This window comes from Homo sapiens, chromosome 17 (genome assembly GCF_000001405.40).
Source record: "Homo sapiens chromosome 17, GRCh38.p14 Primary Assembly".
NCBI lineage: Eukaryota > Metazoa > Chordata > Mammalia > Primates > Hominidae > Homo > Homo sapiens.
Window position 1 is genome coordinate 59,420,839 of NC_000017.11, and position 18,692 is coordinate 59,439,530.

An 18,692-nucleotide genomic window follows, 5' to 3' on the forward strand; every position below is an offset into this window, starting at 1 on the left:
TGCCTGTAGGTAGAACCCAGGTTAGAGTTAACACAAAGGACACAAGGACCACTCTTTTGCCTACTGAGGTGAGGGGAATTCTGGGCTGCCTCTATGGCAATGAGCCCAAGTCAATTCAGTGCCCGCTCTCTCCTCTGCCACAGAAGCCCCTAGTCAGCTGGGGGCAATGTTGGGTGAGGGTAGGTCATGGGGGGGCTGGCCCCACTTTGTGCTGCCAGCAGTGCTGGCTGGCTCCCATCAGATATATGTGAGCTCTTGGCAAGCAAGAGGGAAGAGAGCTGTGGCAAGAACAAAGTCCGACCCCACCCCCACCCACCCCAGACTTGCAGGCTGCTGAGGGACGCCAACTGGGACTGGGCTAAAGAGACCATTATTTGTCATCTAATAATCAGGTGTCTGGGGGCAGGTTATTTCTCAGCAGGTTGAAAAACAGGGCACCCATGATATTTTGTTTCTCCTTTGGCCTTCCTGATAGCAGGGTTCACCCAAAGGCCTGGCTGACCTGTTTCTTTTAAGGGGGACCTTGAAATATAGATAAACACCCAGCCTCATGGAAGCCCTTCTGTACCCTCGGCTTGCCTGTGTTTTTCATGGTGCCATCCTTTGTTTATGAACTGTGGGACTTTTTTGTTTTTTGTTTTTTGTTTTTTTGAGATAGAGTCCCCTTTTGTCACCCAGGCTGGAGTGCAGTGGTGCGATCTTGGCTCACGGCAACCTCCACCTCCCGGGTTCAAGTGATTCTCCTGCCTCAGCCTCCCCAGTAGCTGGGACTACAGGTGCCTGCTACCATACCCGGCTAATTTTTGTATTTTTAGTAGAGACGATGTTTTGCCACGTTGGCCAAGCTGGTCTTGAACTCCTGACCTCAGGTGATCTGCCCACCTCGGCCTCCCAAAGTGCTGAGATTACAGGCATGACCCACCACGCCCAGCCTATGAACTATGAGACTTCTGAGAACTGTTAACAGGGAGGATAAATGGAGCCAGGAGACGCCTCACTTTGGCTTCAGTGGAACCTGTCACGGTCCAGATTGTGCCACTCTTTGGAATTTCTGAATGGTATGAATCCAGAGGAGAGAAACAACGTTCTGTTTGTTCTCATGGGCCCTCATACCACAGACGTTTACATCATGGGCCTGCACACTGAGAGGTGCTGGTCATGTTTTCCCACCAGTGTGAGGGGTTTGGATGATCTTGGCTTGTCCTCACATTTCCCCATTTTTTATTTTTTGAAAAGAGAAATTAAGACAGTTTATTGATCACTTACTATACTCCAGGCACAGTACTTGGCATACTTTTTAAAGTTGTCTCATTTCATTTGCATTAAAATCATTTCAGGATATATTATTATCCCTTTTATATACATAAGAAGATGGAGGTTCAGAAAAGTGGAGTAAATTTACTAAGCCCTCTCAGCTCAGAGGCTAAGTGAGAATTTGAACCCAGGATGTCTGGCTCCTAAACCTGTATGTTTTGCCCATTCAGGGCCCACAAGGGATGGGAAGTCTGGAACAAATTACCGGGTGGCCTGACTTCATTGCTTCTCAGTATGATCTAATGCTAAAGCACGTTTAGCTTGTTTGCCTTTCCTGGGGAGAAACAGAGAAAGGGAAGAGGGGTGAAGTGAAAAAAAATTATTTATTTTTTGCTGGGGTTCAATCTGGTCTCAGCATCCCATCCCATCTGGACAATCTGATCCTTTTTTTTTTTTTTGAGACAGAGTCTCACTGTATTGCCCAGGCTGGAGTGCAGTGGCTCGATCTTGGCTCATTGCAACCTCTGCCTCCTGGGTTCAAGTGATTCTCCCACCTCAGCCTCCCGAGTAGCTGGGATTACAGGCACCCGCCATCATGCCCAGCTAATTTTTGTATTTTTGTAATGATGGGGTTTCACCATGTTGGCCAGGCTGGTCCTGAACTCCTGACCTCAGGTGATCCGTGATCCGCCCACCTTGGCCTCCCAAAGTGCTGGGATTACAGGTGTGAGCCACTGCACCTGGCCCTGAGCCTCTTTAAGTAGGCCACAGTGTTACTGTCGTGACAGGGAAAAGGTGACACTGGAAGGGGCTAACCCCAGGTTGGCCTAGAACTGGCCGTTCCAGTGAGCTGAGGGGTCTGCATAATTGGATAAGATAGCCACACTTTTTCAGTCCTGCCCAAGAATATCTGTGAGAATAAAATGAAAGTTAGCCTGTGTCCATGTCTCCTGCCCTAAACAAAAGGAAGCTCAGTGAGACAGAACCCCCAAAGCAGTGACTTGTCTTGCAGGCCAATTACGTTGTCTCCCCAGCCTCTCTGCAGCTGTTCTGGCCTCTGCTTTCTGGGATGGAGCCTCTGCTCTGGGGGCCCTCCACAGCCCAGCTCCAGGAAGGTGACTGCTTCCTGGTTTGAGACGTATTATTAAACTGTAATCATACTGTGCATGGAGTCAGCCAAAGCAGTGGCTATTAATAGGGAGGTGAAGAATGCTGACTCAGAAGGAAGCTGACTTAGGCTGGAAGGGAGAGCCCGGCCACCTTGGCCTACAATTCTCAGCAGGAGGTCAGTGAGAGAGACCTGAGCTCACTTCGTTCCTGGGCAGGAGTCAGCATTATCTGGATTTCTCAACTTTGGAAATAGAAACCCGAAGCAGTCCTGATCAAAGGGATATTGAGCTGTCTTTCCCAGGTCCTTGGGGAGTCTCCGAGCCCGGAGTACTGATAGCTTAAATAGCTATGACTCAGCAGAGCAGCAACTCTTCCCTCCCGATGTCATGAGTAGATGAGACTTGGAAAGGGGCACTGGGACTCCATTTCCGTGACCTCCCTCAGCTGAGAAGCCTGTGCTGAGCCAGCCCTTAGCTGGCCGGACAACCCCCATTGGCAGAGACACCCAATTAGGGAGATTCTGTTTCTGGCTCCTTGGAGGTGACCATTTTCATTTCAGGTGAAGGGCCACGGTAAATGAAGGGCAGGGTGCAGGAGGGCCTCACACTGTGGAGAAAGGACATTTTTAGCAATTTCTGTCAATGCCATGCATTTCTCAGAGAGTTCAGACTTTAGCCGTCTGGTAGACTCCCCATCGTCAGGTAGCTGGAAGTAAGACAGATCCCCGAATCTGGCCCAGGATATGCCCCGGAGAAACAGGACTGCCCCTGGATGCACAATAGCCCTCACTCTGCAGCAGCCACCAAACAGCCTTCACACGTGCTGCTTCAGCTCGTTCTCACCAACCCCAGCAGGTGGGTGGTATCAGCCCTCTTAGCGAGGAAAACAGATTTCAAAAAGGTGAAGTGAGTTGGTCATACAGCTAGCAGGTGACAATGACGAGACTAAAACCTCAGTCTGTCTGCCGCCGGAGGAGAAGCCAGGCATGAGCTGCCCTTGTGCCCCTGGCACATGCCCATCTGTGCCACTTCTACCTAGACCCAGGTGTCCCCGACTTTGTTGCTACCCCAAAGCTCACACTGAGGCCAGGGTAGTGAAGATCTGGTGTGTTGGGTAGGGGGTGCTGAGAGGTTGGGGGAGCGCTATGTCATTCTCTCGCCTTTCTATCAGGTGGGTGGGGATGCCGAGGTATGTCTTCTCAAACTGGAAGATTCATTTTGGTTCCTGGATCTCCGTAGAAGGAGGTTTGGATGGAGGTAGGATGTGGGAGGTGTTTTCTCTTCCTCCCTAAAAATACTTATTAAGCACCTCTTGGTTTCAGCTCTGGGCAGCCTGGGTGCTTTCAGATTATAGAACAATTTCATGACACCATGGATCTGGTATTTTTCTCTGCTGTTTTTCACATAGTCTTAATATAGTTTTACCTGATAAGAACTATCCACATGTGTATATCTTTTTAGAGTTCTAAGATAGCATAATCCACATACTTAGATGTACCTATAAAATATCTTTTTACAGAATAAAGGGCATGCTATTAAGGAATGACTTTTCTTCCACTGATTGTCATGTGGATCACTTCCTGAACCTGAAGGAGGTTCTGGAACTCCAGACACCGGGTCCTGAGCTCTAGCAAGTAGCTGAGGGAAGAATTTTCAGCCCCCAGCTGCCAGGGGTTCTCAACACAGAAGCAGGACCAGACCAAGCTTTTGGGAATTTGTTCATCATTGTACAGCCGTATCACGGCCTATCCGGAGTGGGAGGGCTGGAGAGTAATTTCCTGACCCTCAGGCTCTGAGCTATTGTTTTGGGGTCTTGCGTACTCTTTTGATCAATTATTTTTTCTGCCTTTAGCCATAACAAGCAACAGGATGGTGCAGCATCCAGGTTCAGAAAGCTGCCTCCTCTCACTTAGTCAAAGTTAATTAATTCTCACTGTACCTTGAACTAGGTCAGCTGCAGGGCTGTGCTGGGCCTGACCTGCTGTCAGGGGAGGGCATTTCTTGTCTGTCTCTTGATGTGCTGTCCTGGGCAGGGAAAGTGGGAAGGGGGTAGGTTTCACCTTTGCGTGGGATCATCTCTCCCCCTTTCTTCCGGGGAGGTGACCATTTTCAGATCTGTGGGTGGGGAGGAAAATCTTCTCTTCCAAAAATAATCTCTCTGCAGTGGGGTTTGAAGCTGGACCAAGCTGCTAGCGCTATTTTTACCCAGCTTGCAGTTCAGGGTGTAAATAGCAACTCTGGCTGTTTTTTCCCACAGCTGACAACAGAGTCAACCTCTTCGAGGCAGGAGCATTCTGGCATTTCGCACAGAGAAAACAGAACACAATTTGCCCTCGGGCCCAGTTGATGATTCCTGGACCGTGGGGTCGATATCCAGGGCTGGCATCTCCACGGTTCTTTTATCTCAGTCTCCACTATAAACACCAGGCCCCATGAGAGCTGCTGGGCTGAGGCTCATTTAAAGAAGCTTCCTGCGGAATGATGAGGGAAAAGGCAGGTCCGTAAATCCCCGCCTGCGCCCGCCGAGGATTCCAAGCGCATGAGCAGCTCCAGGCTCCAGCTTGCTGTCCCCCTTGCCCTCCTTCTTGCATTAGCAGGCACTTCCTCTAAGGCTGCTGCCCTGGGAGGGTTTCTTGCAAACCCACTAGATCTGAGGAAAGACAGAGAAAACATCTACTTAAGGCTGCCCAGATGACAGCATGTGTCTAAAAATATATGTCTCCTAGTTTTCGAGTGATCGAAGGCCCCACAGCCTTCAGCACTGGAGTCATTTAGAGGTCATGGTGAAAGGACTGGCTCCCTCCTTGCCTCCATTTAAGCAGAAGCTGCGAGAAAGCCCCCAAAGCCTTGGGTCATGTCTCCAACAGGCTCGGGTGAGTGGGAAGTTCGGCCTCATAGAAGGCCCCTTGCTGGTGCGGTTCATGAGGACGATAAATTAGCAAAGCTGAGGTGCGCCCATCACGGTGAGCAGTTCTCTATTGCTTCTCTTCTGGGGAATGAACAGGCTTCATTTGCTTTTCCCTGAGGCCAGGTTTCTAACCCAAATCTGTCCCTGGAGTCTTTGGCCTGAAATAAGAAAGGAGTCTTGAGTCAGCAGGAGAGCCACTCCTCACTATGAATTACACAGCAACTCCTTGTGGATCTGCCCGTACCCTTCCCCCGGGCACACATCAATCAATCGAAGTATTTCTCAAATATCTACCCCATACCCAGAACTGGGCATTTAGGTACGTGGTTCAAGTTTCAGATTCTTCCAGCAAATGGTTTGTATGGGGTAAGAAAAAGGATTGGAGGTCAGGTAGGCAGCTGAGTAATCCCCAACTCTGCCTTTTTAAAAGTGGTTTCAGTTGCGCATCCTTGGAATTGATTCTGGGCAGCTGTTAATTGCAAAACTCACTGCCAATTATCGATAGCTAAAGTGGCATTGGAGAGCTTCTCATGGTAAAAATAGGGGCAGGTAATAGATGAGAAAATAGCTTTACATTTGAGAAGAGAGGATGGGAACATATTGTCTCAATCTTGCTGTGTTCGAGGTTTCCTTTGTCAGCCTGGGTTCTCTCCCAAGACTGGCCAGCAAAGTCTACTTAGTGACCTCCAGCAAATAGTCCACCAGCAAGCTACTTAAGATTAGAGCAGGCTGGGCGTGGTGGCTCACGCCTGTAATCCCAGGACTTTGGGAGGCTGAGGCGGGTGGATCACGAGGTCAGGAGATCGAGACCATCCTGGCTAACATGGAGAAACCCCGTCTCTACTAAAAATACAAAAAATTAGCTGGGCGTGGTGGTGGGCGCCTGTAGTCCCAGCTGCTCGGGAGGCTGAGGCAGGAGAATGGCATGAACCCGGGAGGCGGATGTTGCAGTGAGCTGAGATCGTGCCACTGCACTCCAGCCTGGGCAACAGAGCAAGACTCCGTATCAAAAAAAAAAAAAAAAAGATTAGAGCAAAACTTTATCTTGGCAGCAAGAACAGAGGGGATCTCTGCTGAGTTCAGGGCATCCTGTTTCTCACCGGGCTCAGTCACATTAAACAGCCAATACCAGTTTTAGGAAAATCCATGTTGAATTTTAAATGTATTTTGGCTCATTTGGGGGGTTATGATTGTCCAATTCAGCTGGTAGTTTGTGTATCAAACTTCAAATCGACAAACGATGTTTATTCAAGGAAGTTTCTTGAAGCCTAGATGGTACATGTTTACCTTAAAAAGCAAAACCAAAAAATTCCAAAAAACAGAAACAGGAAAAAGTGCCCTGGTGAGTAAAACCAAAAGCATGTGGCAGACAGACACAATGCAGGCCTGAGTATTTTGAACAATGCTCATGGCCCCAGCCTTGACACTGGGGAAACTGGGAATGTGGTCGCAGACTTCCTATGTCAAGTGTTTCCCTGGATTTCCTGGAATCCAACTTGAAGTGCCATTTCCCCTGGTGCCACCAAGGAGTTAAGCTTTGGTTCTGTTCTCCCAGTGACTAAGAATGCTCTGTGTGGCTCTGAGATCATCCAGAAAGAAACTGACAGTCGGCGTGGGAAGAGTGTGAGCTTTCAGTGCTCTTGAAATGCCTTTGATGGGCATGGTGAGAGAGCAAAAGGCTTATTGCCACCTAGTGCCCCTGATTGTGTAATTTCGTCGTGAATTCTTGTTTCTTCTTTTGAATTTTGCATAATTTTAAATGAAGATCTCTAACTCCTTGGGGAGCTTGATATTGTGATGTGTGAGTTATTCTATGGAGCTATTCTATGTGAGCTATTCTATATTTTAGACAGCAAACGTATCCCACCACTTGGAAATATCACCCATTTTGATTGAAAACAAAGTAGAATCAATGACCTGACCAAATCACACGTGTGTGTGTGAGGGAGACTGGGTCTTTCCACTCCTGATGTTTTCTTTCTTCTGAAAGGAGTCCAAACACTCCTTGCTTCTCTCCACCCGCCCCCTCTTCCCTGAGAAGGAGGAGTGGTTTAATATGACTGGTGAGTTTGGAAGGAGGAACTGTGCCTTATATCATCCTCTCTTTTCTTCTTGGGAGCAAGCTTCGCTCCCGTGGGGTGGGAAGAGTAGGCCCATTCCAGCTCAGCTGCCTGTCATCGAGCCGCCAAGTCTGCCTAACTCTGAAGTTGAGTATCGGGAAGCTCGATTGTCTGATGATATAAGCCACGTTCTCTAATATCAGCTTTATCAGTAGAAAAGGTTATTTTTGGTCCTCATCTAGCTTGCTGCTATCTTCTGATTCAATTCAAAATTCACAGAGAAGGGAGCAGACTGCTATTTTGGGGCCTCCTCAAAGACCCCAACATATTTACTGGAAGATTTCCTGTGATTAGAAAAATCCCAGTGTTGGGGTAAGGTCCAACTTATAGATCCACATCATCACTTTCTTATATAACACCAGATTCCTTAGCTGTCAGCTGAGTAAAAGAGAGTTTATGGGTGTTCCTTGCAGCTAAAATGCATCCATTCAAAAGTTATTTATTGAATCCTTACCACGTGCCAGGGGACACATAAGTGATCAAGAGAAACAGTCTTGGGCCGGGCGCAATGGCTCACGCCTGTAATCCCAGCATGTTGGGAGGCCAAGTTGGTTGGTCATTTGAGGTCAGGAGTTTGAGACCAGCCTAGCCAACATGGTGAAACCCCATCTCTACCAAAAATACAAAAAATTAGCCAGGCATGGTGGCAGACACCTGTGGTCCCAGCTACTTGGGAGGCCGAGGCACAAGAATCACTTGAACCCAGGAGGCGGAGGTTGCAGTAAGCCAAGATCACACCACTGCACTCCAGCCTGGGTGACGGTAGTGAAACTCTGTTTCAAAACAAAAAAAAAAGAAAGAAAAAAAAGAGAGAGACACAGTCCCTGCTGTCACACAGTTTATAATTTAACTAGGGTGTATCAATTTAAAAGTTTAATGTTTCAAGTGAAAGAAAACAATCTCAAATAGGCTTGAGTAATACAGGAATTTATTGTCTCACTGGAGATCCAGGCACAATTTGATCCAAGATTCAAACAGCATGGATCCATTTCTTGGCTCTGCTTCCTTTGAGTTGGATTCATTCTTTAGCCACCACATGTTGGAACCCCTCTCTCCTGGCAGCTTCAAGTTTTCCACGACGGCTGCAGCAGATCTAAGACATACCATTTACCAGGCTGACAAGAGTCCAAGTTCCAGCAATCCCTGGAGGTCCATCCTGAGAAGGCCATCTCAGGTTATAGACCAGCATAAATCGGGAGCTCACAGGACAGAAGACACTGATTGGCTCACGCCCAGTGGGGCCCACCCCCTGATATGGGAAAGTTGGGCCCTTTCCACTTCCAGAAATTTGGGCACCTATTTGGAAGGGAGAAAGGGCCACAACTAATAACTGTTTATGATAGAAGGAAAAACAATAAATATGCTTATACTTCTGCTCTGAGGGAATCATTCAGCCTGCAGAAAATGGAGACATCTCATTACTACCTGGCGAGTCAAACACAGGCCTGGGGATCCAGAGATGTATTTGGATTCCAAATTCTGTGTGGGCCCCTATACACAGCTGACCCTTGGGGACACTGTAAAGGTTGATACATGATAGACTTTGCTCCTTGATCTGGCCCTTCAGTAGTTACCCTTGGACTGTATTCTGCTGTGTGATAGCTTTTCCCTTATTGATTGATTGATTGATTGATTGATTGATTGATTTGAGATGGGGTCTCACCCAGGCTGAAGTGCAATGGTGCAGTCTAGGCTCACTGCAACCTCTGCCTCCTGGGTTCAAATGATTCTCCTGCCTCAGCCTCTCGAGCAGCTGGGATTACAGGCGCATGCCACCATAGCCGGCTAATTTTTGTATTTTTAGTAGAGATGGGGTTTCACCGTGTTGGCCAGGCTGGTCTCGAACTCCTTGCCTCAAGTGATCTGCCCGCCTCGGCCTCCCAAAGGGCTGGGATTACCGGCATGAGCCACCACAGAGGAGAGTATGTGCCTGAGAGAGATGCTAAAAGGATGACTGAGATGATATTCGCAAAGTATGTGGCGCAAGTCACCAAATAAACCTAAGCTATCTGTTGGCGTGTGTTCATTATTCTTTCAGATTTAAGGACATTCAGCTGGTGGTTTAGGGGCTAAACATTAACCACAGTGGGGCAGGTCAACACAACATGAGCTGTGAGCCATGAAAATACACAGGCCTTCGGTGTTCTAAGTTCAACAGACCTGTGTGAAAAAACGTATAACCAAAACGGATTGAAAATGGACAGAAATGCAGTCAAACATGCAGGGTAGAGAGAGTGCTCCAGCTAAGACCTCGGCCAGTTCTTTTTTTTTTTTTTTTTTTTTTTCTTTCAGGACAGAGTCTTGCCCTGTTGCCCAGGCTGGAGTGCAATGGCGCGATCTCGGCTTACTGCAAGCTCCTCCTCGTGGGTTCAAGCAATTCTTGTGCCTCAGCCTCCCGAGTAGCTGGGACTACAGGCGCAGGCCACCACACCCGGCTAAGTTTTTGTATTTTTAGTAGAGATGGGGTTTCACCACGTTGGCCACGCTGGTCTCGAACTCCTGACTTCGTGATCTGCCCGCCTCGGCGTCCCAAAATGCTGGGATTACAGGCATGAACCACCACGCCCGGCCCTTGGCCAGTTCTTAAGAGGCACGAGTACTTGCTGAACAACTTAAAGTGCCAGTGGTGCCTGAGCAATCCTTTATTTCTTCATTCAGCAAACACTTTTTAGGTATCTTCTATACAAGAAGCTATAATAAAAACACACAATCAGTTTATGAGGCAGGCACTTAAATCCTTTTTAGAATAAAGAAGGGACCTCCCTTTATAAATAGGTAAATGATTATAAAAATTATATGCAAAGCTAAAATGAACTAAAGATCTACTATTACACAGGAGACAGAAAAGAGAAAACTAGTTTCAGTATTTGGGTGGAGGCTGGAGAAGAAGTGGGCTATATCTGGGATGGAATGAACCGACTTTGTGTTAAGTCATAAACAAATATATAGGGCTAAGTGGAGAGATGGCAATCAATTATACAAAGTCTTTTTTGGTTGCTCAAAGAAATGTGACCCAGTCCTCTGAACGCCCTACAGCAGCAGTTTATTTGCACCTTGCCTACTGCTCTTATTCTAACTTGTATCACAGTCGGTTATTTATTCATTCAATTATTTGGTTACTCCTTGAACACTGATGCAAGGCTTGATATGTGCTAAATATTGTGTCAAGGGCCAGGATACAAAATAGAGTGAGACATGGTTTCTGTAGCTCAGTCTAGGAGGGGAGGAGGCATAAAAAACATAATTATAGCCTGAGCACAGTGCCTTCCACATGTAATTCCAGCACTTTGGGAGGTCAAGGAGGGAGGATTACTTGAGGACAGGAGTTGGAAGTCATGGTACGCTATGATTGTGCCACTGCATTCTAGCCTGACAGAGCAAGACCTGGTCTCTAAAAGAAAAAAAAAAATTATTATCTAACATGAGAGGTGCTATAATAGAAATATGCCCTGAGTGCTTGGAGGTGAAGTCTTCACAAAAGAAGTGATATTTGAGTGGATCTTGACAATAACAGGAGTTTCCTAGGCTGGATTTCCAAAGTAGCTGGAAAGCCCCTGAAAGAGGAGCCAGAATGGTGTGTGAGGAAATGCTGAGTGGTTTGGTATGTGGGGATCTTTGGGTATGTGGGGAGAGTGTCAGCAGAGGAGGCTGAAAACATAAGTGGGCTAAAAGGTAAGTCACACAGAGCTTCATAGATCTTGCTATGGGCTTTGAACTGTGTAGACAGAAGGATTTGTTGAAGAATTTTAAGTAAATGATTGAGAAGATCAAGTTTGGGCTTTAGAAAGACGTTCTGGAAGCAGTCTGAAGGAAGAGTAGTAGTGGGGAAGGACTGGAGGCCAAGAAATCAACAGGAACGCTATTTCACTAATCTAGGTGAGAAGTGATAACATCTTGATGACTGAAAAAGAGGGAACAGAATGGGTTCAAGAAAGAACTGAGAGATTAAATCAACAAAGCTTGGTTATTGTTTGGAAGGAAGATTATGTAGGGAAAGAAGGCATTAAGAATGACTTGGAGCTGGGTGTGGTGGCTCACACCTATAATCCTAACACTTTGGGAGGCTGTGGTGGGTGGGTCCTTTGAGCCCAGGAGTTCAAGACCAACCTGGGAAACATGGCTTAAACCTCATTTCTACAAAAAAAAAAAAAAAAAGCAAAAAAGTAGCCAGGCTTAGTGGCACGTGCCTGGAGTCCCAGCTACACAGGAGGCTGAGGTGGGAGGATTACCTGAGCCCAGGACATTGATGCTGCGGTGCACAATGACCAAGCCACTGCACTCTAGCCTGGGTGGCAGAGTGAGACCCTGTCTCAAATAAATAAATATAAATAAATAAATAAAAGAATGATTTAGAAGTCACTAGTCCATGCAGCTGAGGAAACAAAGGTGCCATTAACCACAGTAGGGAATAGAAGAACAGGAGGAAAGATAAAGACAGGATAATGACATGCTGTGTTTAAGATGCCTGCACGACATTCAAGTGGACAAGCCCCACTGGCAGTTGGAAATCTCTGCCTAGAGTTAATGAGAGAGCTGGAGGCTAGTGATTGAGCTGGGAATAAATAGGTGCCAAGGCTATGGACATAAAGGGCACACACCCACCAAGTACAGCTGGAAAGTGAGAAGATAAGAGACACCAGCACAGACCCTATAGAGCACTAACATAAATGAATTGATCAAAGAGGAGCCAGAAAAGGAAAGTAAAAAGAGGTGTCCAGAGAACAGCTAGGAGAACTGGCAGAGACCAACATCTTAGAAGGCATAGGAGACAAGAAGAGGAGGCAGTCAAGTAGGTCAGAGCTGCTGAGAATTCTAGTGTAGCATTTGTGACATTTCCCCATTAAAGAGCAAAGCCTGTGACAGTAGGAACTCCTGGCACAGTACTTTGTATAAAGCAGGCAGTATCTGTGCCAGGATCTATAGATAGACATATAGATGTACCAATTTGGAAACTGCTAGTAACTGCTAGATGCCCAGAGACCTCAAATCTGGAAACACTGCAATTTTAAAGTGTTATTTAAAGGTCAAATTAGCAATAAAAACAGTACTATATATATATATATATTTTTAATTTTTAAAAATTTTTTTTTCAAGATGGAGTCTCGCTCTGTCACCCAGGCTGGAGTGCAGTGGCACAATCTTGGCTCACTGCAACCTCTGCCCCGCAGGTTCAAGTGATTCTCCTGCCTCAGCCTCCCAAGTAGCTGGGATTACAGGCGTGCTGTAATTTTTGTACTTTTAGTAGAGATGGGGTTTCACCATCTTGGCCACGCTGGTCTTGAACTCTGACCTTGTGAGCCACCCGCCTCGGCCTCCCGAAGTGCTGGGATTACAGGCTTGAGCCACGGCATCCAGCCAAAAACAGTACAATATTAAAAGAGATTCTAGCTTTCCTCAAATTCCATTAAAAATTATTACTACCACCTTGTGTATTTCTTCGTATTTGGTCTTCAGGAGAAGATACATGGTCAGCAATATAAAATGAGGAAGCTGGGGCAATATAATTTATCAGAACAGAGGAGTTCAGTTGCAGTTGCTGGAACACAGAAATTGGTGTCAATGTGTTTGGCCTTTACAAAAGTCATTCTGAGGGCAACATCATGGTGTTTTAGGAACTAAGCAATTTCTTCCTCCCCTTTCTCCCCTCCGCCTCCCCCCTCCCTCCTCCTTTCCCCTCTCCTCCTTCTTCTTCTTCTCCTTCCTCCTCCTCCTCCTCCTCCTCTTTCTTACTCCTTCCATTCTGTTGCCCAGACTGGAGTGCAGTGACCTTGGCTCACTGCAACCTCTGCCTCCCAGGTTCAAGCAATAATTTTCTGTATTTTTAGTAGACACGGGTTTTTGCTATGTTGGCCAGGCTAGTCTCAAACTCCTGACCTCAAGTGATCCACCTGCCTCAGCCTCCCAAAGTGCTGGGATTACAGGCGTGAGCCACTGCGCCGGGCCAGCAATGTCTTCTTCAAATGTCACACAATGTTACAGTTCTTTTTCATTTGCCCATTCTTTCAACGTTGAGCACCTCATATGTTCGAGACACTGAGTTTGTCAGCCTTTTGACATCTTTCCATCCCTCAAGGAGCTCACAGTTCAGGGGGGACATAGACAGGGGAATACAATGGAAATATACTGAGAAGTGCTGTGCCAGAGGTAAGCACAGTGTGCAAATGAAGACAGAGAAAGACAACCCAACTCAAAGGGCAGCAAAAGAGGGCAGTGGCGTAAAGTCTTTCCAGAAGAGACAATGCCTGCCAGGTGTTACAAGGAGGGACAAGCTTCCAGATCAAGGAGACAGCAACTGTAAAAAAAAAAAAAAAAAAAAAAGAAAAGAAAAGAATTCAATATGGCTGAACACAGAGTACAAGCAGGGGAAGAGTGAGAGATGAGCTGGGTGGGCAGGGACCTCATCAGACCCCAGAAGCCCTTCTAAGGATTCGGAGCTTGAGCCTAAAAGCAATGAGGAGATGCTGAATGATTATGTTAGAGCACTTCAAAGGAAGTCGTTTGCTTCTCATATTTTTCTTATTTCCCATTCTCTCTCTCTCTTTTCCTTCCTTCCTTTCTTTTTCTTTTTTTCTCTCTCTCCCCCTTTCTTTTTCTTTCTTCCTTTCTTTCTGAAATTGCAGCTGATCCTTCCTCCCCTCCCTCCCTCCCTCTCTCTCTCTCCCTCTCTCTCTCTCTCTTTCTTTCTGAAATTGCAGCTGATCTGGTCTATACCCAAAGAGAATAAGTGCAAGGGATTTATTTACAGTATGTCCATGGTTGGGTGGAGAAAAAGATGGAGTTGATCCCTGAAACCTGACTTTTGATGGCAGTAAGTAGCAAAATGAGAGGATCCCAGGAATAATTCCTATCTCCCACAGACTTTTCTTCCATCTAAATCTGGAGATGCCTGTGTTCGATTTTCATGAGGAGGCTGTTACCTCCAAGGTGTGGACAGGAACCTTTTTTTTCTTGCCAAATGAGCAAAGAAAGGAATCTTAATTACAGAGAGGTCTACACTCTTGCTACTTGAAACTGGGTCCCTGGACCAATAGAATCAGCATCCCCTGGGAACTGGTTGTACAGACAGAAATCTGAAGCTCCACCCCAAACATACTGAATCCAAATCTGCATTTTAAACAAGATGCCTGGGTGATTCCCATGCACATTCAAGTCTGAAAAGTCCTGATCTACAAGATAGGAAAACTGCCTAGTTGGTAAAACTTAGGGTACTGTGTTGCAATCTGTGTTTTGTTTTGCGTGACTGATTTATGAGTAATCAGTTTGTCAGCCTCTATGATTACTAATTTATGTCCAAAAGCAAACTCAATCAGGGGCTAAACCCTTTCTACTCTACTGAACATTTCTAAGAAATCTCCACAGAGCCCACGATGTTGTGATCCATTTAAATACAGGACTTGCTCTCTGGCTGATGAGTAAAAGATTCGTTCTTTTTTTTTTTTCCTATTGTGGCAAAATGTGCATAACATACATTTACCATTTTAACCATTTTTAAGCGTGCAGTTCAGTGGCATTAAAGACATTCACACTGTTGTGCATTCATCACTACATCACCTCTAGTGTTTTCATCTTCCCAAACGGAAACTCTGTACCCGTTAAACAATAACTCCCCATCACCCCCTACCTCCAGACCCTGGCAACAACCATTCGACTTTTTTTTTTTTTTTTTTTTTGAGACGGAGTCTCACTCTGTCACCCAAGCTGGAGTGCAGTGGCGCGATCTTGGCTTGCTGCAAGCTCCTCCTCCCGGGTTCACGCCATTCTCCTGCCTCAGCCTCCCAAGTAGCTGGGACTATAGGTGTGCGCCACCACGCCCAGCTAATTTTTTTGTATTTTTAGTAGAGATGGGGTTTCACCATGTTAGCCAGGATGGTCTCCATCTCCTGACCTCATGATCTGCCCACCTCAGCCTCCCAAAGTGCTGGGGTTACAGGTGTGAGCCACCGCGCCTGGCCCACCATTCTATTTTTTGTCTCTATGAACTTGACTACTCTAGGTAGCGCATTGAAGTGGAATCATACTGTACTTGCTTTTCTGTGACTGTCTTATTTCACTTAGCATAAGGTTGTCAAGTTTCATCCATGTTGTAGCATATGTTGACATTTCCTTCCTTTTGAAGTTGAATATTTTGCTGTATGTATCTACCATATTTTGTTTACCATTCATCCATCAATGGACACTTGATTGGCTCCCAACTTTTGGCTATTGTGAATAATGCTGCTACAAACATGAGTGTAGAAAGCTTCATTTATGCCAGCATGCAGGTCCCCTCTTCTAGCTTACCAACATTATTTTCTAGAGAGATGCCACAACAAACATAAATTCACAGTTAAGGGATGCTCTCAATGGATTTTCTCTGTCTGTCTGTCTGTCTATCTGTCTCTCTCTCTCTCTCTCTATATATATATATGTATATATATTTTTTTAAGCAGAGACAGGGTTTCACCATGTTGCCTAAGCTGGTCTCAAAGTCCTGAGCTCAAGCGATCCACCCACCTCAGCCTCCCAAAGTGCTGGGATTATGGGCATGAGCCTCAATGGATTTTCTTTAATATATCAAGTCTCTAGTTGACTCCTTACGAAGAAAAGAGAATTTGCTGTTGTTGGGAGCAAAATGTCTGTTGCAGTTAGTCTCTGTCCGGGAGTCGTGCCCTCCTGAATATAAACTCAGGGCCAGAGCCAAGACTTTAATTTGTGAAGCACAAGTATTGATTTGGTGACACCATTGTCTTCCCCTGATGCTGTTCCTATCAACCCAAATTATCTGTGTGAACATAGGAGCCATTTTTTCCGGGTGTGCTGGGCAGCTGGTGACAAGCTGCTTGCCGATAGGCCCTGACAGAGATGAACACTTGGCTGCTGTTGGGCAGTCAACACTGTCCTTGCCAGGGCGTTGCTGGGCAAAGGAATCTGCAGCCCTGAAGCCGATGAGCATACACCACCCCAACAGACCCAGTGCTCCATGCTGATTTCAGCAACCCACAGCAAGGCTCAGACAAGGGAAGAGGCTCTCAGCTTATGGGTGAACTATTCCTTTTGTTTTGTTTTGAGACAGGGGCTTGCTCTGTCACCCAGGTAGCATGATCTTGGCTCACCGCATTACTGCAGCCTCAGTCTTCCGGGCTCAAGCGATTCTCCTGCCTCAGCCTACTGAGTAATTAGGACCACAGCCGTGTGTCAACATGACCGGCTAATTAACAAAACTGTAGAGACAGGGTCCCCCTGTGTTGCCCAGGTTGGTGTTGAACTGGGCTCATGCAATCCTCTCGCCTCAGCCTCCAAAGGTGCTGGGATTACAGGCATGAGCCACCGTGCCCAGCCTGGGAGAACTCTTCTAAAGAACTATGTAAAGGGTATTATGTCCCCCCAAATGATCTGGAGTCTCATTTCCTGGTGTTACTTCAGGAAGCTGTGGGGTCAGCTCCCTTTGTGTGCTTTCCCTCAGGGGCCCAGTGGGCTGCTCTGACACTGTTCACTTCATCCCACTATTTCACCTCTGGGACAACTCTTTTGGTTGCCACATATGTGCAAGGATGAGAAGGATACAATCACACCACCTCATTTGGAAAATACACGCTGAGACTCTTGATTTCATCTTCTGTGGAATGACTTTTGCTTTGCAAACTAAATCTGGATGTTAAGACAGGGGAACAACCGCAAGTTCCCCATTTTCATGTTAACTCCTGGCCCTCAAGGATGATTAACTTTAGAAACTGAAAACGCATTTGGGCTAATCGTTTATGAGATCTGATTAAGAGCTTTACAGAGAAGATTTGCACCGCTGTTAAGAAAGGCTCTAGCAATTCAGGAGAATGCACATGTAAGGGATTTCCTTCCACCGGATTAGAAAGAAGAGCTAGAAAACACAGCTGAAGACACGAGAGAGGAAGAGGTGAAGACCTGCCTGTACGAATCCAAAGAAAAAAGTCTGTATGTGGGTGAACACATCTGAAGAAGTTCCATGAGAACCACTGACTAAAATGTAACGTGACTAAATAACGTGTGTGCAGCCACGTTAATGTGTGACGTGTGTAGCTGCAAGGATCTAGTGAAAGTCTGGGAATATGCATAAAAGAATTAAGTATTTGTAGGCCACTGTCTAGAATTTACAATTTGCCTCCTCCCAGATTTGTCCTGATCCGTCCACTTGCAATGCCCTTCTCTGTCTTTCCTTCTCCATTAATACATGCTTATCACCTTATTCAAGAGCCAAGGAGAATCTCACCACCTGCAGGAAGACTGCCCAGACTGACCCCTCTTAACTGTAATCATCCTTTTTTTTTTTTTTTCTTTTTTAAGACAGAATCTCACTCTGTCATCTAGGCTGGAGTGCACTGGCCCGATCTGGGCTCACTGCAACCTTCGCCTCCTGGGTTCAAGCAATTGTCCTGCCTCAGCCTCCAGAGTAGCTGAGATTACAGGTGCACACCACCATGCCTGGTTAATTTTTGTATTTTTAGTAGAGATGAGTTTTCACCATGTTAATCAGGCTGGTCTCAAACTCCTGGCCTCAAGTGATCTGCCTGCCTCCGCCTCTCAAAGTGCTGAGATTACAGGCCTGAGTCACCACACCTGGCCTCTTAACTGTAATCATTCTTTTAAATGCACCCTCTCCAAATGTGTGTGTCCTACATGTCCTAGGGGAGCCCACACGGCATTAACGGCATCTTTCTTAATGATCATTTTCATGCCACTTTCCATATGTGTGGTTTGTGTTCCTAAACCAGTCTACAAGCTCCTTGAGGTGGGGACTATTTGGGAGGAGAAAGGGTGTGGTTTGTTTGGTTGCTGTTGTTCTTGGCCTTTTCTCTTGGATATCCTAAAGCAGTGCTTCTTAAACTTTAACAAGCACATTAAATGCTTATTATTGTTACATATTATATGCTTATTAATGTTACCTGTTAAATATTTATTAATGCTAAATGCTTCTTACTAAAATGCAGAGCTGATTTAGTAGGAATGGGTTGGGCCTGAGATCCTGCATTTCTTTGTCTTTGTTTCTTCTCTCTCTTTCTTTCTTCCTTTTCTTTCCTTCCTTCCTTCGCTTTCTTTCTTTCCTTTTTTTTTTTTTTTTTTCTAAATGGAGTTTTGCTCTGTTGCCCAGGCTGGAGTGCAGTGGTGCAGTCACAGCTCACTGCAATCTCAAACTCCTGGGCTCAAGCAACCCTCCCACCTCAGCTTCTCAAAGGAGCTGAGACTATAGGCGTCTATCACCATGCCTGGCTAGATTCTGCATTGCCAACCTAAGTGCGGCTATTGGTTGGAGGACCACACTTTTGAGTGGCAAGGCTTTGTAATTCCCAG

The 18,692-nt window shown here is 46.2% G+C and overlaps 1 long non-coding RNA gene across 1 annotated transcript in view, besides 1 other annotated feature; it reads right to left on the minus strand.

The window, feature by feature from the left end:
• Nucleotides 6,876-7,005: a silencer, noted in NCBI's record as "silent region_8780". NCBI's record gives its function as "represses an Ori minimal core promoter by ATAC-STARR-seq in GM12878 lymphoblastoid cells {active_cell/tissue: GM12878}" and the evidence as "EXISTENCE:reporter gene assay evidence [ECO:0000049][PMID:35858748]".
• The window catches only part of LINC01476 (long intergenic non-protein coding RNA 1476), a 95,989-nt gene continuing 87,327 nt past the window's right edge, over nt 10,031-18,692 (minus strand). The window contains exon 3 of the long non-coding RNA NR_110813.1: nt 10,031-10,082. This is a non-coding gene — a long non-coding RNA (long intergenic non-protein coding RNA 1476). The remainder of the gene's footprint in view (nt 10,083-18,692) is intronic.